This window comes from Homo sapiens, chromosome 10 (assembly GCF_000001405.40).
Source record: "Homo sapiens chromosome 10, GRCh38.p14 Primary Assembly".
Classification (NCBI taxonomy): domain Eukaryota; kingdom Metazoa; phylum Chordata; class Mammalia; order Primates; family Hominidae; genus Homo; species Homo sapiens.
In genome coordinates this window covers 132,712,657-132,736,715 of record NC_000010.11, presented here as the reverse complement: position 1 = coordinate 132,736,715, position 24,059 = coordinate 132,712,657, and the positions used below count along the sequence as shown (strand labels likewise).

At 57.7% G+C, this 24,059-nt stretch overlaps 1 protein-coding gene across 8 annotated transcripts in view, besides 2 other annotated features; it reads right to left on the bottom strand.

Moving 5' to 3' along the window:
- The window catches only part of INPP5A (inositol polyphosphate-5-phosphatase A), a 245,694-nt gene that overhangs the window by 46,765 nt on the left and 174,870 nt on the right, over positions 1-24,059 (bottom strand). For all 8 annotated transcript variants that reach the window (XR_001747104.2, XR_945735.2, XR_007061963.1 and 5 more), the window contains one exon: positions 9,811-9,895. Coding sequence is in view for 4 of the 8 variants with exons in the window: in NM_005539.5 (NP_005530.3) it covers positions 9,811-9,895 (85 nt within the window). In the remaining 4 variants the exon portion in view is untranslated. The remainder of the gene's footprint in view (positions 1-9,810; positions 9,896-24,059) is intronic.
- Positions 1,280-1,931: an enhancer, noted in NCBI's record as "H3K4me1 hESC enhancer chr10:134548289-134548940 (GRCh37/hg19 assembly coordinates)". NCBI's record gives its function as "activates a minimal SCP1, AML or CMV promoter by ChIP-STARR-seq in naive H9 embryonic stem cells {active_cell/tissue: H9 hESC(naive)}" and the evidence as "EXISTENCE:reporter gene assay evidence [ECO:0000049][PMID:30033119]".
- Positions 2,304-2,461: a silencer, noted in NCBI's record as "fragment chr10:134547759-134547916 (GRCh37/hg19 assembly coordinates)". NCBI's record gives its function as "represses an EF-1alpha promoter that drives an FKBP-Casp9 reporter gene in an ReSE screen in HepG2 liver carcinoma cells {active_cell/tissue: HepG2}" and the evidence as "EXISTENCE:reporter gene assay evidence [ECO:0000049][PMID:32094911]".

The window sequence follows — 24,059 nt, the reverse complement described above, 5'->3', positions numbered from 1 at the left end:
GTCTGAGGTCTGGGCCTGGGCTTATGCTGCTGGGCAGCCTGGCCTTGGCTGCTCTTGCCGGCCATGGTCTCCACTGAACGGCAGACACAGCCTTTGAGGCAGGTGCTGGGATCCTGCCTCGCGGGCAGTGGTGGTATCCTCCCTGGTGCCCATTGAGAGCCGTGTTTTGGGAAGCCCGGCTCTCGGGGTGTCTCCTTGCGACGTCAGCCCCTCTCCGAGGACGGCTCCTTCTGGATGTCAACGCCCCCAACGGCCATTCCCCTGCAGGCCCAGCTGGCACCTGAGCATGTACCTGTCAGTGATTGGTAACTGGTTGTTAAAAATGGCCACCAGCCTCCAAAGACGCATCCATCACCGTCACTGTCAGACGTGATGGACGGCAGGTGTGGTGTGCGGTCGGGCCGCGTGGAGACGGGTGCGCCTGGCACTGCTGTCACTCTTTGTCACCACGGCCAGCTGAGCGCCCCAGCTGCCAGTTGCCACCGCGCGAGGCAGGAAACACACCCTCTGAACATCCCAGCAGCAGCTGGAGCCGCAGGCTGCATCACTGACTCGTGTGAGGACGCACGGCCCTCTCAGATGGCACACGACTGGCGTGTTTCATGTGGTGGGTTGTAATTACAGCTTCCGTGGTGCCAGATCTGACTCCAGTATCTTTTCAGTTCTGCTCTGTGAGCAAGTCTGCATTAATCTGCATCTGAAACACAGGAGGCTGCGCATTCCTGGGGGACAGTCTCTTCGCTTTGCACACAGAGCCTCTTTCACAGACTGGTGTGGGGCAGGGCAGGACTCCCGGATCCAATCCCTACAACCCTCCTGCCACCAAAAATCACAAGCAGGTCTCCACCTCGGGGTCTGAGAGCCTCCAGGGCCACCAAGCTGGTCGTCCTCCCAGACACCCTGCCCCTGAACTCTCGGCAGGGCAAACAACCCTGTATTTAATCTGCTGCTGCCAGCCCGGCTCTGCCCGGCCTCCCATTGCTGTGGAGATGGATTTAATTAACCTCTGATGAGTCTTTCCAGCAAGCCTGCCACTGAGGGCACCAAGGAGGCGCTGTGAGCAGGCAGAGGAACGCGGTCGGCAGTGAGAGCAAGAGGATGACCCCACCAGCCCAGGACCGAGGGGGCAAGGATGGGCTGCTGTGGGTGGGAGCTCAGCAGTGAAACCAAAGCCAGGCCAGCCGTGGTTTCTGAAAGACCATTACACTCACGTGTCCCTTCGTACCAACACCGCCCCAGGGCGCCCGTGCCACCGGGCACCGCCTGCCCCCAGCCTCCAGCATTCCCAGAACACTCCATCAGGCAAGACGCTCTGCACTGTGATAAACACGGCTTCCTGATGCGCTCTGGCTATGCACGACTGTGTCACTGTCCACAAACCTTCAGAACCGCGTATGCTTACTCTGATCCTGGGCAATCTGAAAACCACCCCAGAGGAGGGCACAGATCTCCCCACAAACCCAGGGTGGAGGCTGGGTGTGGCCTTTTCCGGCTCCCAAGGAGCCAGACTGCAGGTACCAACGTGGCCTCTGAATGTGGTATCTCCACACGGGGGGTTGCAGAGGGTGGGGAGGACTAGCCTGCATGGAGCCCACAGGGTCTCACTCTAACCCATGCTGCTGTTTGACAGAAAGGCTCAGGGGAAGGAAGGACAGGTGCTCGAGATGCACCTGCTCCACACGGCTGGGGAGCAGACAACACTTCTAAGCCCTCTGGGAGGCCCTGCCCGCCTCTGTGTGGCCTTCTCTGAGGGGCTCACCACACAGCTGCTCTGCCAAGAGGAAGGGCAGAGCCCATCTCAAGGACTGAACCCACTCCATTCAGCCCCGAAGCTAGCTCCATCCGAGGACCCTGCAAGACACTCCTGCCGGCCTTTGACTCCGACACTCCCTCTCCTTTAAAATGCAGATGCTTCTAGGAAGGCAGAGAGATGTGCACAGACACTTCGGTGGGAAATCACTCCCAGGCAGGGGGAGAACTGAAGAGAGGTGGGGGAGGCAGCCGCCAGGCAAACCCACTGCCCCGGGCACTCCTGGTGCCCAAGGCCATGGTCTTGAGGGCAGGCGGTACCCTCATCCTGGTGCTGGGCCCACATAGCAAACGCACAGGACACACTTGCTGGACCAATGGGGCTGCCCACAAGGCAGCCAACAGTGGGACACTCACCCACCCAGAACCTCAGCCATCCACAGGCCTGTGTGAAAAAGAACCTGCTCAGCTGAGCAGCTGGAAACGCTGCGAATCCGCACTCTGCCCAGGCCATGCTGAGCTGCTGCACGCTCCAATTCCTCCTGATACTTCCCAGCTGCAAAGACACTGGAGGCTGGACCACAGTGCGAAAAATGAAAGCTGTACGAGGAAAATGAGGCCCTGGACCACAGGGATTCCTCGTCCACTTTTCATCTGAGGAAGGAGAAGCGCACAGCCTCAGGGAGCACCGAGATCAGTGGGCAGTGACGGTGGCCACTGCCGGGTGTGGTCCTGCCATGACAGTCCAGCCCAGAGGTGATGCTTCTGCGTCACACGAGAGCATAGCTGGCATCTCAGGTGCGCCTGCAGCGATGCATCCCTGGAGGCTGCACGGGCATGGCACTGCGGGTGGCGTGGACCGAGCCTGAATCCCGACCAGAGGTACCTGCGCAGCCCCGGTTCACCAGCTGCACTGAGCCTGGTGCCAGGCAGACGTGAGGAGACGCTGCCTGGGCCCTGGGCCTGACTCACAGGATCTGTGTGCTGAGGAGCTCCCAGGAGACTCGCAGGTCCGGGAGAGCCCAGGATGTGTGTGCTAAGGAGCTCCCAGGCACTCCTGTCAGTTCTTCATCAAAAAGCTTCATGTGGAAGGAAACTGCAACAGGGACGTGCCACAGGGCCAAGTGGAGATCAAGCTTGTTCACGCGCAGAGGCTGAAATCAGCCTGTTCAGGTGCAGAGGCCGGCATCAGCTTGTTCACACACGGAGGGAGGCCAATATCACCCCGTTCACACGCAGAGGGAGGCCGGCATCAGCGTTCAGCACAGCCTGATCTGGTGCCGGTATGAGGGGTCCCCAAACACCTGCCCTCAATTCCTTGGTCCAAGTCAGCCTCAAAAGAAAATCGTGCAGAATTTTCTTTGGTTTCCACAAAATTTCTACGAAATGTTTTACAGTCAGAAACCTTTTTTAAAAACCATGCCATGCCAACTAGCAGATTTTGATTTTCCATAAGAGGGGCTTGGATGGTATTTTAAAATTCAATAATCTACCTAATTGGCACCTTAATTAATGCAGCTGAAATTAATCACCACCAACAAATAAATCTGGTCATTTTTCAGTGAGATTTATTTTTAGGTAGGGCTTTCAAAGAAACGTTTTCTGTGCTAGTGTTCAGTGGACCACGTGGCAGGAGACAGTCACTCCGGCGCTGCCTGCTGTCCTGGGCTGTACGGTGTGCCCCCAGATTCATGTTCACCCAGAGCCTCAGAATTGGGGCCTTGTTTGGAAATGGGGCCTTGCAGGTGTAACTAGTTAAGATCTCGGGATGAGACATCCTGGGTGGGGTGGGCCCTAAGTCCATGGACTCATGTCCTTGCAAGAAAAGGCCACATGAGGATGGAGGCGCAGACGGAGGTGATGCGGCCATGAGCCAGGGCCATCTGGGCCACCTGTGGCTGGGTGAGGCAAGGAGGGGTCCCCCCTGGAGCCTCCAGGAGCAGCGTGGCGCTAGGACACCTTGATTTTGGATGTCCAGGTTCCAGGACTGTGAGAGAATAAACTTCTGCTGTGTAAGCCACCCAGCCTGTGGTCCTCTGAGCCACTGCCGCAGGAATCTCCCCACACGGAGACAGGAGACTCTGCGCGGGAGGGATCCACCTGGCACGCACATTCCACGTCAACAGATGAGCAAACAGAAGACAGGCCGTGACCCTCCGGAGAGCCTGCACGTGTCTGCGGCCCACAGGAAGCGACATGGCCACGTGGAGGTGCCACGCAGCACTGAGGGGCCGCAGGTGACCCTGGGGATACCGCCCCTGCCCTGGGCCTCAGGGTCCTCCCCGTGGTCGGTTCCAGGGTCCTGTGACTCCTCACGGCCCCCAGCCCTCAGGAAATCCCTGCGGCCATGGGATCCAGGTGCTCAGCTTCGGGCCAGTCCCTGCACCAAGCACTTAGCTTCAGTGAGCTGTGGAATTTGACACACAGCTGACGACTGTGTTGATGATGCCAGGAGGGAAAAGCGGTCCTTATTCCAGAGGTGTGGCCCTCCCTTGACTGAACAGTCCTACAAGAACTCTACACTACACATCATTTTCCCTATTTTCCACTAGGCTCGCTTTACTTACATAGTAAACTGTGTGCAAAATGTAACGAAAGACTTGTCAAATGAACAGCTATGTATCCACAGTCTTAAAGAGCCACGTGGGCAGGAAAACCCTCCAAACACTAATGCAAGGATCTTAGACACTTGCTGAGTAAACAATCCAGTTTAAAACTATTCATTTTTCTTCCCATTCCTTTGCAAATGGCAGACAAACAGCGCAGAACAGTAAGACCCACGTCTGTCCAGCATGAGGGCATTATAAGCCAGGGCCTGGTAACTGCATGGGCAGCTGCTGTCGCGGGCAGCATCCTAGAGCCCAGAGACCAGGGTGGCCGGGCGTGTGAATGAGCCGTGGTGGGTGGAGGCCTCCCTGCTCCCAGGAATCTGCATTGCCACTGCCTGGGGTGCCGGGGGCTCCCCTGGGTGGCATCTACGTCTGTTGGGGACATGGTGTCCAATTCTGGTGCCATTTAGACAGGGGCTCCCCTGGGTGGCATCTACGTCTGTTGAAGACATGGTGTCCAATTCTGGTGCCATTTAGAAGGGACCTTTGCAGACAGAACCTGGATTTCCCACGAACGCCCTGGGCATGCCTCGGTGATAACCACAGAGCACATGCGGCTTTCCTTCTGCCGATTCGTGTGAACACTGAGTTCTGCACTGGAGGAAACCCGCACTGGAGGAAACCCTCACTGGGGGAAACCCTCACCAGAGACCAGCTCCCTCCCAAGCTGATCGCGGGGCTGGAGAGCCCCCACTCCCAGCAGATGCAACGGAGGCTCAGCCACCACCTCCTGCGTGCCCTTCCTTGGTCCCCTCCTCATGTCTGACACCAACAAACGGCACCAGCGAAGAAAACCTGCTGCTGAAAACACCTGCGTCTGATACGAGGCAGGGGTGCGGTCACTCCCAGGGTCGTCTGATACGCAGGAGGGATGCGGTCACTCCCAGGGCCGCCTGATATGGGGCAGGGACGCGGTCACTCCCAGGGGCGTCTGATACGCAGGAGGGACGCAGTCACTTCCAGGGGCGTCTGATACAGGGCAGGGACGCAGTGACTCCCAGGGGCATCTGATATGCAGGAGGCACGCAGTCACTCCCAGGGATGCCTGGTAAGTGGGAGGGGGCGCCTGATGCGCAGGAGGGACACCTGATACGCAGGAGGGGTGCCTGATATGCGGGAGGGGTGCGGTCACCTCCAGGGCCGCCTTCTCTGTTCTCTGACCTCTCACCGGGGGGAACCCAGGCCTGACTCTTCCCTGGGATTGTGCAGGGCTGACCACGCCATCCCATGTGAATGACCGCCACGTCTGCCAGGCAGCGTGGAGACCCCACCCAGGGCCCACCTCAGGGCTGTGGTTCCGAGAACAGGGATGCACTGGGGAGCAGCTGAGCCCAAGCTGGCTGGACAGCAAGTCCACGGGAATGTTCCTCCCCCGTGGTAGCCCCTGCACTGGTTGAAAGTCACCTGGTCTGTACTGTCCCATGGAATAGCCACGCGGCTCTATCAGATCTGAATTATCAGATCTGAATTAAAATGAAATGAAGTGAAAAATCGGGTTCCTGGGCTGCCCTCGGTGCTTGTTAGCCTCATGTCCTGGCAGCCGCTGCAGGGGCAGAGGGGAGGCAGCTTGCGGTCAGGCTCACAGCAGGACACGCCAACGCGGCTGGGACTTCAAGACGCCACCTGGGTCAGCCAGGCCCGCAGGAGCTCTGCCACGTTCCTGCTTACTGTTCCTTTGAGAAATCCACTTGGGGCATGCAGAGGAGGTTCCAGGAAGACCGCAGTTTTCTTTCCCTTCCTGACTTATAGTCACCTCTGACGCTTCGATGGCCAGGCAAGCCCCACACCCGCTGTCTTAACAAGCTGCACGCAGGAGCTGCTCTTCCTACACCCAGGACACCTCTCCACAGAGCTGAGTGGGTGGGGCTGCAGAGCGGCCGAGGAGCCTGCAGACAGGGCGTGAGGGACAGACGTGAACTGTCCTGCAGCAGATGGCGCCCCCTCCCGCGCTGCCCACGCAGCCCCGGCCAGCACGTCCACCAGCCCACCCGGCTGCACTGGGTCTGTCACCCGACTCGCCCACGTGGCCCCGGCAAGCAGGACACCAGCGTGATGGGGGCGGAGGCAGATGGGTGGCAATGATGCACCCCGTGGAGCCCAGAAAGGGGCCTGGCCGGTCCAGGGCAGAGGGGCTGAGGGAAGACCAGGAGGTGGTGGGGAGGGCCCCGCAGGGGCTGAGGACAGGGCAGGTGGACCCAGGCTGCTGGACTCCATTTAAAACCAGCTACTGTGGGGGAACTGAGAGGAAAAACAGCATTTCAAGTAACTCCATGTCTGTTCCAATTACTGTGGATGGGAAAGTGATAAAAAACAGTGACGACTCAATTCCTGAAGGACGGGAGCTGGTGAGGCTTATGGTGGTGTGGGCGGCTCTCAGACACAGGTGCTCACTCGCCCTGGAGTGCTCCACCAGCCGCTCGAGCAGCTGCCTGGAGGTTGCTGAAGCTCTTTACTGACTCTCAGGAGAAAGTGGCAGTTTCTGGAGAACTGTTTATCACCAGTTCACAAAGTAAACAGCCCCTTAAGCACAGCCATTAGAATTCCCGTCCTCTGTAGTTTGATGTTTAAAGTTAAGCATGAAGGCTGCCGTGGAAGATCCCACTGGTTTATTGGTGATGGGAATCTTCGAACTCTGGCTTCAGGCCAGTGCCCTCCCCAGCACTGGCCCTCTGCGTGGACCCCTTCAGCAGCGCAGAGGGCTGGGACGAGGGCTCCTTTAGCGACAGCCTAACACGAACACGGAGGACGGGGTACAGGTGGGGGCGAGCATGGTCTTGCTTCTTCCTGGGTAAAACTCAGGCAGGTCCCAGACCTGAAACTGGAAGGTCCGGAGAGCCCACTGAGGCCCGGGAGGCAGTTCCTGCTCTGCACCCACCCTCCCTGGCGGGGTCCAGGGCACCAGGGCCATCTAGACCTGGGCAGGAGCTGCCGTGCTGCGACTGCCTGTGTGAGAGGAACTCTTTAAGAAATAGGACTGATCTTGGTGATCAAAAAACACTGCTGACAGTGACCCATGAGGGTTGAGGGCTGTGTGTGAAGGCACTTAGGGAGGCCAGGGGAGCAGGCCAGGTGATGCAGGAGAAGATGTGGCAGACTCAGGCCGGCTCCCGAGGCCCCTGCACTGTTCTCCCGCCATGCCTCCTCTTACGGCCACACCCACAGGCAAACCCCGGTGAGGTGCTTTCTTCCTTTTCTGCTCAGCAGAAAAAGGAAAGCCTTGCAGTCCTTCATAGGAGTTGCCCAACGCCCCACAGGACCCAGCGTCCAGGCCCCCCACGCCTGCTGAGACCACAGCGGCCACGCAAGCCCCACAGGCCCTGGAGTCCAGGCCCCCCACGCCTGCTGAGACCACAGCGGCCACACAAGCCCCACGGGACCCAGCGTCCAGGACCCCCACGCCTGCCAAGACCAGAGCGGCCACACAAGCCCCACAGGCACCGGAGCCCAGGCTTCCCACTGCCCCCGACGCCTTGTGGTCACACGGCCCGGCCACCGGGCTCAGCAGCTGGCTCCCTTCACCAGGGAGGCTCCCGCGGCTGCTCCAGTGCGTGCCTCACCACGGCTCTGACCCGGCCAGGACCAGCTGCCCTTTACTGTGACATTTGCTCTACCAGAAGGAAAAGGCCCTTTCCAAGCTCCCTGACCTTTCCCCAATTGCTGGGCGCCCGGGATTGATCGGCTTTGGTCTTTCGCGGGTTCTTCTTGACTTTCATCCTGGCCCCTCCCAGTCAGAGCGGGAAGTACTTATGTGCACTGTGGACTCACTGGCTCTCGAGTAACAGGTTAGAAATGAGCTCACTCAGAGATGTTCCAGACCTGCCGGAAATGCCGCTTCCAGCCCCCTGTGGCTTGGCGGGGGTGGAGGAGGAGCCTATGACAGGGCCCCGCCTCTGTGGCCCCCAGGCCTTGCTCCCGGGTCCCGCACAGCCTCGGACGCGGGGACATGGATTCTAGCAAGGATGGGCACAGCCCCTGCCCTCGAGCCCTCACCGAGCCTGTGGGATGGCAGGCCAGAGACCGATCCATTTGACAGCCTCTACGAGGAGAAAGGAAGCACAGCAGCGGGATGGAAAGGACTTCGGGGCCCCTGCTGGGGGATGTGTGCTTTAAAAACTCCATGTGCTCCTCAGCCCACCACACGCAGAGGCCCTGCCTTCCTCCTCCACAGCCAGATGAAGGGATGCCTCGACCAGGAGCCACTGAACGTTTAGGCAATGCCACCAGCACGGCCAAATGTTGATACACAGGCATGCGGTGGGGCCTTGTGACAAGGTGCTGCCAGCTCAACCCAACAGAGGGTTTTAGGGGCACTCATTTCTGCCAACCACAAGAGACCCAGGATGATCAAAGCCAGCTCAGTCTGTCTTTCAGAAACAATGTCCTGCCACCGTTGGAAGATGAATACGTGTGGGTGTTTGGAACTGGAGACTAAAATGGGAAGATAACAGTCTCGGGGACCGCCATGTCCCCGTTCGACTCACCGTGTTCCCATCCAACTCACTGTGTCCCCATCCAACTCACCATGTCCCCATCTGACTCACCGTGTCCCCATCCGACTTACCGTGTCCCCATCTGACTCACCGTGGCCCCATCCAACTTACTGTGGCCCCGCTGTGGGCTGTCAGCTCATGCCCAGCACCTGGAGGGGCCACCAGGGAGGCTGAGGGTGAGGGCAGCAGGGCCAGGGCGGGTGGGCAACAGGTGCTCCACCATTTCCCACACCCCCCTCTTCACAGCTGCCCGGGAAGTGGAATCCCAAGTCATGAAAACTGGGAGGGAGGACCCACAGCCAGCGTGGACTGGACCACAGAGAAACATCGGCCCTTGCACTGAGCCTAGAGGCCCACTTCCTGTCGGTGGCACCTCGGCGCCCAAGCTGCTGGTCCCCGGCCAGCCCGAAAGCACACCCAGGAGCACCCTGGACCCCTGAGTTCCCACACCCAGGAGCACCCGGGACCCCTGAGTTCCCAGGCGGGGGTGACGACTCGTTAACTCACGGAATAATGACTTTGCAGACAGAAAAGCACAATGTTTAAAACGGGCTCTGACAGTTTCTACGTGTTATGACAAAAAATCGCTGAGATCAAGTTGGACAGTGTGAAGGAGCTGACACTCTGCAGAGGCTGCAGCTCTGTGGGCATCGAGGGGGTGGCGCTGTGACGGCACTCCAGCAGCTCCTTGTGTGCCGACGGCGGAAGCCACAGGGCAAAGCCCCACAGCACTGTCACCCGCCATCCGGGGCAACCTTGAGGGCCCGCGCACCCCGGATTCCAACACGGATCCCTCTGCCGACAGCAAAACATGCTTCTTCATTGAAAGGTTTTGCCTTAAAAAGTGCATCCCGGGAGGCGGATGGCATTGAAAGTGCCAGTAAGGGGCCACGCTCCTTCCACTGTTTTCCTCAACACAGAGCAAGGCATGAGACCAGGGCGGGAGGGAAGCCAGCGCCTACCTCCACGACGGACTTGGAATCCAGCCGGAAGTTGAAATCACCAAATACAAAGTAGGAAACCTTCTCGAATCGCTGATCAATGATTCTGGAAAGAAAAAGAGGACTTGTTACCGAGGGCGCTGAAGCCGGCCAGCCCTCATGCCCGGCCCCGGTGCTCCTCCACGCTCCCCATCCGCACACTCTCTGTTCTGTCACCTGCTGCAGGGGAACCTCAGTGGTTGCCTCTTTGCACACCCAAAATTCAGCTCTGAGACCACCCCCAATAGAGGTCCACTGAGCAGTGCTCAGCCCTTGGCAACACGGACACGCATCTGTTGCCAGCGACATGGAGGAAGAGGAAAGGCAGAGTCTCAGCTGCCTCCTCACCCACTGGGCCAGGGCAGCGTGAGAGCCTCACGCATGGAAAACCACGGCTGCCCCGAGAACGGGAAAGGGCCGGACAAGGATGCCTGAATAATCCACCACAAACCAAATAATCCACCGCAGAGCTCAGGAAAGGCGGGAGGGAGACAGACGGGAGGAGGGACCGACAGCGGGAGGGAGATGGACGGGGAGGCGCGTGCAGGTGAACCGGCAGGAACCGGAGCCCCCGCTCTCTCCTCCCAGACAGGGATGTCCCCTCAGACCTGTTTTGAAGGTTTACATATGATCTCCACTCGGACGTTTCAAAGTGAGAGGGTAACAGTGGCTGCATACGTGTGTGTATGTTTTTAGCCAGGTACAGCTGTACTCAAGAAAAATTCTTCCTCATATTTTCAATCAATCACAATCAGTTTCCTAAAGGTTTTTCCACTGCGGCTTCCCTTACAGATATAAGCCTGTAAAAAGATCTCAGAAACCGCCAACTCACTCAAACCCCAAATCTCCCCTCAGCGGCTCCAGTCAGTAACGCCGTGAACTGCTTGCTTTTGAGGAGGGCAAGGCACTCAACCCTTCTGGTGTGAAAGCAACACGAGAACCCTTGCAACGTGGCATTGGCCACCAAAACCATCAGTGGAACAGAAACATGTGATCTGTAGACAAAAAAAGGAAATACTCTGGTTGCCAAATTTCCTAATTTCACAGCCCAGAGCCAGGTGGGGCTGCCAGGGCAGGGGCAGGCAGCACAGAGGCTGCCCATCCAACTACGCTGCATTTGGAGATAATAAACTCAGGTTATTAGCCAGGCAAAAGTGAGAGCTTCCAATCAGGTTAACTGCAGGTGTGCACAGCTGTCCACAGGCAGGGAGTGCCAGCCCGGGCAGGTCACTGCTGGGAGCACTGTGCCCTCTTGGAGCTGGTGACAGGGGCATGAGGGGCACGGTAGGGCCCAGTGGGATGAGGCCGGGAGGCAGGGGGCCCAACCAATCACTAACTCAGCCTTTTCCAGCTTGATCCATTCGCTTGAGAAGTAGAAGAATCCCCAAGTGAGCAGATGGTCTCCCGCTTCCCAGTTCTTATGTGGTCTTGTTCTGCGTTGCCCCGCCGCCACCGCTGACACCTCCACCCTCGGGTTGGAGAGCCAAGTGGCCGTGAGGCACCAGCCGGGGCCACCAATGGCTGTGGACCCGCTCTGCACTGTCCAGGGCCTTTAGACCAGAGCGAGGGAGGACGGAGCATCCGTGCAGGTCACACTTTCATGACTGAGTGCGGGTGGAACCATCACCACTGTATTTCACTTTGGCTATGGAGCGTAGGAGTTCATTTCCATCTTAACTTGCACACCCTCAATATTTTTAAATCTACATATCAAAATTTGCATTTTCTCCCGATTTCACCTGTTCACAGCCTGCTGTTCTCTTTGGTTCCTGGCCTTTTCTCTTTGATTCCAGGGGCCTCCCTGTGAGTTCTGGAGAGTAACCCCCATCTGCGGTGAATATGGCGTGTGCTCCTGCTGGCCTGGGGCCCCCCGTGAGTTCTGGAGAGTGACCCCCGTCTGTGGTGAATATGGCGTGTGCTCCTGTCGTCCTGGGGTCTCCCCGTGAGTTCTGGAGAGTGATCCCCGTCTGTGGTGAATACGGCGTGTGCTCCTGTCATCCTGGGGCCTCCCCGTGAGTTCTGGAGAGTGAGTAACCCCTGTCTGTGGTGAATATGGCATGTGCTCCTGCTAGCCTGGGGCCCCCCGTGAGTTCTGGAGAGTGACCCCCGTCTGTGGTGAATATGGCATGTGCACCTGTCATCCTGGGGCCTCCCTGTGAGTTATGGAGAGTGAGTAACCCCCATCTGCGGTGAATATGGCGTGTGCTCCTGTCGTCCTGGGGCCTCCCTGTGAGTTCTGGAGAATGAGTAACCCCCATCTGCGGTGAATATGGTGTGTGCTCCTGCTGGCCTGGGGCCTCCTTGTGAGTTCTGGAGATTGAGTAACCCCCGTCTGTGGTGAACACGTGCTCCTGCTGGCCTGGGGCTGGCCTTTCCGTTTTGCCTGTGGTGGCTTCTGTCAGGCAAAAGTTTTAATTTCCATATAGTCACATGTATCAGTTTCCCCTGTGGCTGAGACACCTGCCCCAGTCCCCACGCGGGCATGGAGCCCCCACCTTCATCTTTATGGTAGAGTTTTAAGGGTTATCCTTTAATCCATCCGGAATTAAGGTGTAGAGCAGGGATCTAAGTTCATCGATTTCCCAAGCGGACGGTCAATTGATCGGCACCATTTATTCAACGTGTCCCATCTTCCCACCAAGTCTGTATCTCAACACAACATTCCCAGCGGCACGGGTTTTTTTGAGACAATCTATTCTTTTCTGCAGATCTTTTAAAAAATCAATTCCTGCATGCTTTTAATTAGTACAACTTTTTATAGGGAAGTCCTTCTTGTTGACAGTTCTTTCAAAAATGGTCCCAGCTATTTCGTGCTCCTCTTGCCTGTTAATTGCTATAGTTTGGCTTGGCAAAGCCCACGAAAGTCTTGTTTACCTTTTTAATTGGAATTCCTTCCACTTTAGGTTAAATCTCAGTTGTAACAAGTTTGATCTATTCTAGTGTGATTTGCTTAAACGAGCCCCAAGCTCTGCCCAGGAGAAAGGGAAGCGCTTGCTGTGTCCCGTGAGCACAGAAAGCTCGGAGGGTGCATGGAGGAAGACAGAGGGCCCTGTGCTCCGAGACCCCAGGAGAGCGGCAGCCCGGGGCACAGAGGCTCCCGAGGGAGGGCGGCAACGCCCGCCGGCCAGCGGGCAGGATGCAGCCAGCCAAGCCCAGGTGTAGGCGAGACCACAAGATACCAAAGCCATCCCCACATGGCCAATCCCCACACGGCCAATCCCCACACAGCCAATCCCCACATGGCCAATCCCCACAAAACCAATCCCCACACGGCCAATCCCCACAAAACCAATCCCCACACGGCCAATCCCCACATGGCCAATCCCCACACGGCCAATCCCCACACGGCCAATCCCCACATGGCCAATCCCCACATGGCCAATCCCCACACGGCCAATCCCCACACGGCCAATCCCCACATGGCCAATCCCCACACGGCCAATCCCCACATGGCCAAGCATCTGTGTGCGGTGTCGCAGGAACAGACGCGGCCGTCAGTTGGCTAAACAAACAGCAGAACCCTGACGGAACAAACTCTAATGAGTTCCCCAGTGCGGAGAGAGAGGAAATGCGGCCTCCCGGCTGGCCCTCACTCCACTGACCGAGTTTCCTCTCTCAATACTCTGGGGTGCCGCCTCACAGGAGGCCCTGCCCAGGCCTGGCTGCTCCTTCTTCCCGAGAAAGCCGCCAGGCGACGCACCAGGTGGGCCTGCAACGCCCTGGAGACGCCGCGTCATCGTCCTGTCTGGAATCCTGCAGGATCATCATGAAACCCTAAACTGGATCACACTTCCTCGCCCTGCTCTGCTGACAGAACAGCTTGAGCCCATTAATAACAGCAGCTGCCTCTAAAGGGTGCACGGCGGCCGCAAGACGAAGGGGCTGTCACGGCCGAGGCAATCACCTGAGTGCCAGCCCCGCTGCCCTCCCAGAGCTCACTTTCAATTTCAATATAGTGCCATTTGGAGCAGGAGAAAAAAAAACAGTTGTTCTAAAATTAATTACCTTGTCAGTAGCTATTATGATTAAAACGTAGGCCCACATCAATATCATGTGCCTAATTCAAAAAGAGAATTACAAGAAGAGCCATAAAAATCAATTTTTTAGGCCTTGAAAATGGGTGTCTCTCTCTGTTTTGACAAGTGGTCTCATTACGCGGCGGAGGCACTGGGAGGAGGGGCTGCCTCATCGTCCCAGCAGCTGCTCCACCGCGACGGCTGGGGGGCTCGTCAGCGTGTCTCCAGGACAACTGCGACCTCACGACACCGCAGATTAAAGACTTAGGGAGAGTCACGGGTTGAACGTTCCGAATTACATTTCCAACAGCGGGCGCTTCCCTAACACAGCAGTGGGAACCGGGCGCGAGGCTGCTGGGGCCTGGGACACCGTGGGAGGCCCCACGGTGACAGGGCAGGTGGCGGGAGAGCGTCATCGGCAGTCTCACTGGGGCCCTAAAAAATATCAGACTCGAATGGGGCTAGTTTTTTTTCCCCCAAGGAGGAGCTAGTGCAGTGTGGGAAGCAAACTGGCCGTGAGACATTCATCCAACCAGGACACCTAACTTGCTAGGAGTTGGTTTTTTTCCTTCTTTCCTTTTTTATTTTTTAACCCCTGAAAGCGACCGTAGCTGAAACCTTTGGCACTGTATTTTTAAAGGCCTAAGTTGTGTACAATTGGGAATCTATTAAAGTTGGTTTGTTTCTCTGCTATGGTAGAGACCACATTCTCTGATCAAACAACTTTACATAAGCAAAAACATCGACAGTATAAAATTACTAAAACTACTGAGAATATTTTAGTTAATCGCTTAAAAGTTTCTCTTAATAATCATAAACACCTCACTGCATGGTTCATCGCAGATGTGTTTAAGCCACTTTAAATAAACTCATCCCCCCAAAATAAACATACCAGCCTGTTTATTTTTACCTTCCTAGAAACTGCTGGACTATTTTTCATGACTTCACTTTTTACTCCACCCACTGTGAGCTCTACCCCCATAAAGCCTCAAGCCCTCAGGGTGAATCTCCCAGCACCACAGACGCAGGCAAGACAGCCATCTAAGGCGCCCCCAGACAGAACCTAGGCACCACAGAACCCGCAAGACAGCCGTCTCAGGTGCCCAGACAGAACCCAGGCACCACAGAACCCTGAAGACAGCAGTCTAAGGCGCCCAGACAGAACCCAGGCACCACAGAACCCGCAAGACAGCTGTCTAAGGTGCCCAGACAGAACCCAGGCACCACAGAACCCTGAAGACAGCTGTCTAAGGTGCCCAGACAGAACCCAGGTACCACAGAACCCTGAAGACAGCCGTCTAAGGTGCCCAGACAGAACCCAGGCACCACAGAAACCGCAAGATAGCCGTCTAAGGCCCCCAGACAGAACCCAGGCACCACAGAACCCTGAAGACAGCCGTCTAAGGCGCCCAGACAGAACCCAGGTACCACAGAACCCTGAAGCCAGCCGTCTAAGGCACCCAGACAGAACCCAGGCACCACAGAACCCTGAAGACAGCTGTCTAAGGCGCCCCCAGAAAGAATCCAGGTACCACAGAACCCGCAAGACAGCCGTCTAAGGCGCCCAGACAGAACCCAGGCACCACAGAACCCGCAAGACAGCTATCTAAGGTGCCCAGACAGAACCCAGGCACCACAGAACCCTGAAGACAGCAGTCTAAGGCGCCCCCAGAAAGAACCCAGGTATCACAGAACCCTGAAGACAGCCGTCTATGGCGCCCAGACAGAACCCAGGTACCACAGAACCCTGAAGACAGTCGTCTAAGGCTCCTCCAGGCAGAACCCAGGTACCACAGAACCCTGAAGACAGCCATCTAAGGCCCCCAGACAGAACCCAGGTACCACAGAACCCTGAAGACAGTCGTCTAAGGTGCCCAGACAGAACCCAGGCACCACAGAACCCGCAAGACAGCCGTCTAAGGCGCCCAGACAGAACCCAGGCACCACAGAACCCGCAAGACAGCCGTCTAAGGCGCCCAGACAGAACCCAGGTACCACAGATCCCTGAAGACAGCCGTCTAAGGTGCCCAGACAGAACCCAGGTACCACAGAACCCGCAAGACAGCCATCTAAGGCGCCCAGACAGAACCCAGGTACCACAGAACCCGCAAGACAGCCGTCTAAGGCGCCCAGACAGAACTCAGGCACCACAGAACCCTGAAGACAGCTGTCTAAGGTGCCCCCAGAAAGAACCCAGGTACCACAGAACCCTGAAGACAGCCGTCTAAGGTGCCCAGACAGAACCCAGGTACCACAGAACCCTGAAGACAGCCGTCTAAGGTGCCCAGACAGAACCGAGGTACCACAGAACCCTGAAGACAGTCGTCTAAGGTGCCCAGACAGAACCCAGGCACCAAAGAACCCGCAAGACAGCTGTCTAAGGCACCCAGACAGAACCCAGGTACCACAGAACCCTGAAGACAGCCGTCTAAGGCGCCCAGACAGAACCCAGGTACCACAGAACCCGCAAGACAGCCGTCTAAGGTGCCCAGACAGAACCCAGGTACCACAGAACCCTGAAGACAGCTGTCTAAGGCGCCTCCAGAAAGAACCCAGGCACCACAGAACCCGCAAGACAGCCGTCTAAGGCACCCAGACAGAACCCAGGCACCACAGAACCCGCAAGACAGCCGTCTAAGGTGCCCAGACAGAACCCAGGTGCCACAGAACCCACAAGACAGCCGTCTAAGGTGCCCAGACAGAACCCAGGTACCACAGAACCCTGAAGACAGCCATCTAAGGTGCCCGGACAGAACCCAGGTACCACAGAACCCGCAAGACAGCCGTCTAAGGCGCCCAGACAGAACCCAGGTACCACAGAACCCACAAGACAGCCGTCTAAGGCGCCCAGACAGAACCCAGGCACCACAGAACCCTGAAGACAGCTATCTAAGGTGCCCCCAGAAAGAACCCAGGTACCACAGAACCCTGAAGACAGCCGTCTAAGGTGCCCAGACAGAACCCAGGTACCACAGAACCCTGAAGACAGCCGTCTAAGGCGCCCAGACAGAACCGAGGTACCACAGAACCCTGAAGACAGTCGTCTAAGGTGCCCAGACAGAACCCAGGCACCACAGAACCCACAAGACAGCCGTCTAAGGCACACAGAAAGAACCCAGGTACCACAGAACCCTGAAGACAGCCGTCTAAGGCGCCCAGACAGAACCCAGGTACCACAGAACCTGCAAGACAGCCGTCTAAGGTGCCCAGACAGAACCCAGGTACCACAGAACCCGCAAGACAGCTGTCTAAGGCGCCTCCAGAAAGAACCCAGGCACCACAGAACCCGCAAGACAGCCGTCTAAGGCACCCAGACAGAACCCAGGCACCACAGAACCCGCAAGACAGCCGTCTAAGGCGCCCAGACAGAACCCAGGTACCACAGAACCCGCAAGACAGCCGTCTAAGGTGCCCAGACAGAACCCAGGTACCACAGAACCCTGAAGACAGCCGTCTAAGGTGCCCAGACAGAACCCAGGTACCACAGAACCCGCAAGACAGCCGTCTAAGGCGCCCAGACAGAACCCAGGTACCACAGAACCCTGAAGACAGCCGCCTAAGGCGCCCAGACAGAACCCAGTTGCCACAGAACCCTGAAGACAGCTGTCTAAGGTGCCCAGACAGAACCCAGGTACCACAGAACCCCCAAGACAGTCGTCTAAGGTGCCCAGACAGAACCCAGGTACCACAGAACCCGCAAGACAGCCGTCTAAGGCACCCAGACAGAACCCAGGTACCACAGAACCCTGAAGACAGTCGTCTAAGGTGCCCAGACAGAACCCAGGTACCACAGAACCCGCGAGACAGCCGTCTAAGGCGCCCAGACAGAACCCAGGTACCACAGAACCCGCAAGACAGTCGTCTAAGGCGCCCAGACAGAACCCAGGTACCACAGAACCCGCAAGACAGTCGTCTAAGGCGCCCAGACAGAACCCAGGTACCACAGAACCCGCAAGACAGCCGTCTAAGGCGTCCAGACAGAACCCAGGCACCACAGAACCCTGAAGACAGCCGTCTAAGGTGCCCAGACAGAACCCAGGTACCACAGAACCCGCAAGACAGCTGTCTAAGGTGCCCAGACAGAACCGAGGTACCACAGAACCCTGAAGACAGTCGTCTAAGGTGCCCAGACAGAACCCAGGTACCACAGAACCCGCCAGACAACCGTCTAAGGCGCTCAGACAGAACCCAGGCACCACAGAACCCTGAAGACAGCATCTAAGGCGCCCAGACAGAAACCAGGCACCACAGAACCCTGAAGACAGTCGTCTAAGGTGCCTAGACAGAACCCAGGTACCACAGAACCCTGAAGACAGTCGTCTAAGGTGCCCAGACAGAACCCAGGTACCACAGAACCCGCAAGACAGCCATCTAAGGCGCCCAGAGAGAACCCAGGCACCACAGAACCCTGAAGACAGCCGTCTAAGGCGCCCAGACAGAACCCAGGTACCACAGAACCCGCAAGACAGTCGTCTAAGGCGCCCAGACAGAACCCAGGCACCACAGAACCCTGAAGACAGCTGTCTAAGGTGCTCAGACAGAACCCAGGTACCACAGAACCCTGAAGACAGCTGTCTAAGGCGCCCCCAGAAAGAACCCAGGTACCACAGAACCCGCAAGACAGCCGTCTAAGGTGCCCAGACAGAACCCAGGTACCACAGAACCCTGAAGACAGCCGTCTAAGGCGCCCAGACAGAACCCAGGTACCACAGAACCCTGAAGACAGCTGTCTAAGGCGCCCAGACAGCTCCCAGGTACCACAGAACCCTGAAGACGGCCGTCTAAGGCACCCAGACAGAACCCACGCACCACAGAACCCGCAAGACAGCCGTCTAAGGCGCCCAGACAGAACTCAGGTACCACAGAACCCTGAAGACAGCTGTCTAAGGCGCCCCCAGAAAGAACCCAGGTACCACAGAACCCGCAAGACAGCCGTCTAAGGTGCCCAGACAGAACCCAGGTACCACAGAACCCTGAAGACAGCCGTCTAAGGCGCCCAGACAGAACCCAGGTACCACAGAACCCGCAAGACAGCCGTCTAAGGTGCCCAGACAGAACCCAGGTACCACAGAACCCTGAAGACAGTCGTCTAAGGTGCCCAGACAGAACCCAGGTACCACAGAACCCTGAAGACAGCTGTCTAAGGCGCCCAGACAGAACCCAGGCACCACAGAACCCGCAAGACAGCCGTCTAAGGCGCCCAGACAGAACCCAGGCACCACAGAACCCTGAAGACAGCTGTCTAAGGCGCCCCCAGAAAGAACCCAGGTACCACAGAACCCACAAGACAGCCGTCTAAGGCGCCCTCAGACAGAACCCAGGTACCACAGAACCCTGAAGACAGTCGTCTAAGGCTCCTCCAGGCAGAACCCAGGCAGATGGCGGGATGTTCTGAAGCAGCAGGGTCAGCCTCAGGGCTAGCAGAGCCCCCAAAGTGCCTGGGGCAGCCAGGCTGCTCACTGGGTGGAGTCACAGCAACCACTGCTCTTGAGGAAGCTCCTTGACCAACCCGCTGATCCCCAGTGCCGCACCCAAAGGCCCCCTGACTTCCCCACCCAGTGAGTCCCAGCCTCGGAGCCCCAACCCTTTAGGGGCCAGCACCTGAGGTCACGGGGGTGGGGGAGGGAGGCGGGGCCCTGATGCAAGAGGAAGGGTGTCCTTGTAAAAGAGGAAGACACCAAAAGCTCACCTTCCCTCCCTCCCTCCCTCCACCACGTGAGGACGCAGTGAGAAGGCGGCCGTCTGCAAGCTGTCACCAGAACTCAGATCTCAAACTGAGAACTAAGGTCGGCTGCAAAGCCCCGCCACAGAGTTGTGTTGCGGTGGGCGGGGCTGAGATGGCCTCTGGACCTCAGCCTTGGGGCTGGGGGCATCCTGGGCCCCAGCAGTATGTGCCTTCTCAGTGTCTGGCACCTTTTAAAGCCCACACTCCCTTCGATGAGTCCATCCCCACATCAAGTGCTCTCGGGCAGAGTCGTGCGGGGAGCCCCGTGCAGGGCGGCAGGAGGGCTGTGCAGGGCTCTCCTTCGGCAGCCGCCGCTCTCATGCTCTCCACACGGAGCATCGCCATTTTACTTTTGTTTTTCTCACTCTGAGACCCACCCTCTCAAACTCTGCTTGGACACCGCCATAAACCACAAAAACTGGTGCGGCACAGAAGTGCCTCAACCTCCAGGACCCCCCACTCCTCTCCAGCTAGCAGAAAACACAACTGGCTGAGATGCCAGTGGTGACGCTGGGGTTCAGGGTGTGGAAAGGACCAGCGGGAGTGGAGACACACGGCCCCCATGGCCCAGCACAGGCATCGTCCTGTCTGCCACCAAAGGGCCGGGAACCACCCAAACGCTCTCCAGACAGCCGGCAGCGAGTCCCATGACCGAGCACCGTGGCTGGAGCTCGTGGAGACGTCCGGCAGACTCCGTTCACAGGATGCTGGACATGTTGGTCACAGGCGATGACATGTGTAAAGACATAAACCACACACAGGCGTCACAGCAACGTCACGTCGACGCTTGCCTCCAGCTGGCACATAATAAAAGTACAGAAACATCCGTGCCTGTGTCACAAGAGGCCAGAAAGCTGCAAAGGAGCGACAGGTGCTGAATTCAGGCTGATGCTGGGGGCCAGGATGGGGTTCAGGATGGAGGACGGGGCACCTGCGGGCCCACATGGTTTGTTTCTTAAGGAAAGGAAACATGCGGAGAACGTGCAGGGTGCGTGGCGGGTGCAGGCGCTGCCCCTGCATCTGCATAGCGGCACCACCTTTCTTGGCTCTTGACTCCATGTTCAACAAAATGAAGATCGCAGCCATGGATCAGCTGAGGCACAGGCGAAAGGAGCCCCTCCTGCCGGGCAGCAGTGGACCGACCACGCCCTGGAGAGGCTAAGGCGACACAGAGGCAGCGGGCTTCACGGCAGCGGAACGGCAGAGGGCACGGGCTTGTGCTGCCAGGAGTCCCGGGCATGCGGAGGGACACCACAGGGTGCCTGGTGGGCTCCACAGACACATGACCTCGGCCACCCTGAGGTCTCCGAGTCTGAGAAAGCCTGATTGGGACGAGCCCACGACCAGCAAGAGCCTGTGAGCTGTTCTCCGAGGCCAGCGGGAGTGTGAGGAGCGCGAGAACCAGCCCTGTGGCCAGGAGCGCTCAGGGTGACCCAGATCTTTAATGCCGAGTTTGCCTTTGCCTGGAGACGCAGCAGCTTTTCTTTACTGGCTGCACAGCAAGGCAAGTTCTGGGAACGTCTAAAGAGAAACATTTAGGTTGGGGGCTCTTTGAGCGGCTGACAGCTAACTGATGGCCCTCCATAAAGCCACAAAGCGGGGCTGGGGCGCGGGCATCACGTCACCTCTCCCTGGGAAACTAATTGCTTGGAATTGTTCAGAAGAACATTATTTTTCTGGCAATCATTTCCTTTGAATGCCCAAAATGAGCATGAAACAACTCTTTTGACTGGACATAAAAGTTAAATGTCCCAATGTTGATCAAATTAACTTCAGCGCCATGACAATGGACTGTATTTGTGAGAAAATAATGGGGGGACAAAGGGGTGCTTTATGCCGAGATTTCACAGTTGTAATGTAAAATGTTTCTGTTGAACTAGCCCAGGCCACATTTCAGAGGGGAGACAAAGAGTCCCGTCACTTATGGGAAAATCTCCTTTCCAGCTGAAAGCTCAGGAAGGTTTCGGGACGCCTCAGTGGATGGTGCCTAGGAAGGCTGACGTGCACCTCTGGCTCAGCCCCCAGATGCCCCCCAAGGGCTGACCTGTGTGTCCAGGAGAGGGACCGGGGCTGCCCCCAACACGGGCTGAGTGCTCGGCGCCTCCAAGAGCCACACAAGGGTGTGCACGGCCCGGCCTCACCCAGGGTCCAGGACCCCAGCCCAGCACAGATGCCGCCAACACCTGCCCAGAGCCTGGTCCTCCTCACTCATTAGGGATTTGTCTTCTTTTTAAACTTCTCATAACAAGAGGTTAACAGCAACAATTTCAAAAATTACACACAAAAAAGTAAAGGTTCGCATCTGTGATAAGAAGTCCAGTGGAGCCCTGTGACTGGCTGTGGTGGTGGCAGGCACCCCGCAGCACTCGCCCTGGGGCTGCTTCTGAAGACTTTAACTCAGAGCTTGTCTCTCAGTTGTTTTACAATCATCTTCCTACTCTGGAATGCGTTTAGGTTTAGAGCAACGGTGCGAAGGTCCTACGGTGCCTCTGGGTTTTAACCTGGCCTGCATCCTCCTCCAGGGCTGGGACCTGCCCTCCCTCCTGGGCCTGGTGCTGCCGGCCCCGCAGCTGATACGGGACATGGACCTGGGAAGCCGCGCGGGGAGATTAAACCAGGAAGAGGCTGCAGGAGCCTCCTCGCTGTCTCCCTGCGGGGCAGACAATGTGCGCCCGGTTCCCAACGCCGTGAATGGGGCCCCGTTGGTGGCAGCGTCCATTCAGAGGCCGCGCGGCATTGTCCTGCCCGATCCGCACAGCAGAATGTGGTCTGCTGGTGGCTGCCAAGAGGTTAGCAGCCGCGGTGAAAGGGCGACCCATTGTTCCAGACTCCGACAGAGCCGCCCTTTGTGTTGCGCGGCCCGCCCCACGCCGCGGAGGTCCGGATCTGCGGCTGGCTGAGCGCGCCGCAGGAGCCATTCATGGGAATGCAGAGACGCAGAAAAGTGGCCCAAAAGCCCAAAGGCTGCTTTCTTGAGGCCGCGGAGCCATGGCAGCGAGGGGCAATGACACATTTTAATGCCATGCCATGCTGACAACCTAACCGCTGTCACCAAGACCCAACAGCAGACACGGCAGGGCCCTCCCTGCTCCTGGGCTCCGTGGGAGGTCCCCGAGACGCTTGGTGCCTGCAAGCCGAGGGCTGATCAGGCAGGAAGAACCGCGCCGCTCCTGTGGGTGAGGCCCTTCTCCCTGGGCGACTGACATGCTGTCCAGGGAGGGCGCCCAGGGCACAGGCGGTCATCAGTCACTTTGTCGCTGACAAAGCCCCAGGCCCCCATCCCCCACCTGTGCTGCTTCCCTACGGTGGGCAGTTGAGAGCACAGTCCCCAGGCTCAGACCGATCCCTGCCTCGGTGTCAGTGCCAGCTCCAGAGATATCCGGGAGGCCGGACAGGTCCCCTGCAGAGGGTGTGGCCGTGCACAGGGCTGAGGGCCGGCCTCAGTGTGTGGCCACGAGCACAGCAGCACCCAGGCCTCGCAGTTGCCACCCTCCCCGGGACCAGGCTAGTGGCAGGGGACCAGGGCTCCATCACTCTGGAGACGGAGGTCAGGGGCGGTCAGAGGGGATAAGGGGCCACGCCTCAGGGCCCTCAGCAAGGGCCAGATGCAGAGGAGAGCCAAGGCCATATACCCGCTAATAACAGCACAGGGATGGGAGCCCAGCCCAGACTCCTTGTGCAGAGCCCTGTGGGGAACCCGGGAGGATCGTGAAGGCGGCAGGCAAGGAGCCACGCAGGCCACACTCACCACAGCAGCAGACGGAGCCAGCATTCAGGAGGGGCCCCATCAGCTCCAACTCCCCCTGGAGCCACACCTACTGGAGAATGCAGCCTTCCACCCCTTCCTCAGGATGCACAGTGCTGAGCTATGACAGGTACACACTTATGTGCACATGCACCCACACCTGTACACCTACACACACGTGTGCACACCCATACCTACACACATACATGTGCACATACCCACAAATGCACACACACCCGCACACACACATACACATGCACTCCACACACCCACAACCTGCATGCACACATACCCACATGTACCTGCACACATATCCAACCCACGTGCATATGCTCTCCCCACATATGCACACACACCCACACACACGCACACATACATACATACACCCCAGCACACATGCATACACCTTAGCACACATGCATCCACACAGATCCACATGCACCCACACACCCACACGCCCACACCCATGCATGCACACACCCACACACATGCACACACCTACAGGCACATGCACACCCACACAGGCCTACACATCGACACGTACCCCCACACAAGCCTACACATATGCACCCACACGAGGCCCCACACACATGCACACATGCATCAGTGCACCCCTGCACACATGCACACACCCAAATACACAGACACATGCACCTACACACACACCTACACATGCATACACCTGCACTCACATGCACCCACACATGCATATACCCACTCACATGCACCCACACATGCATATACC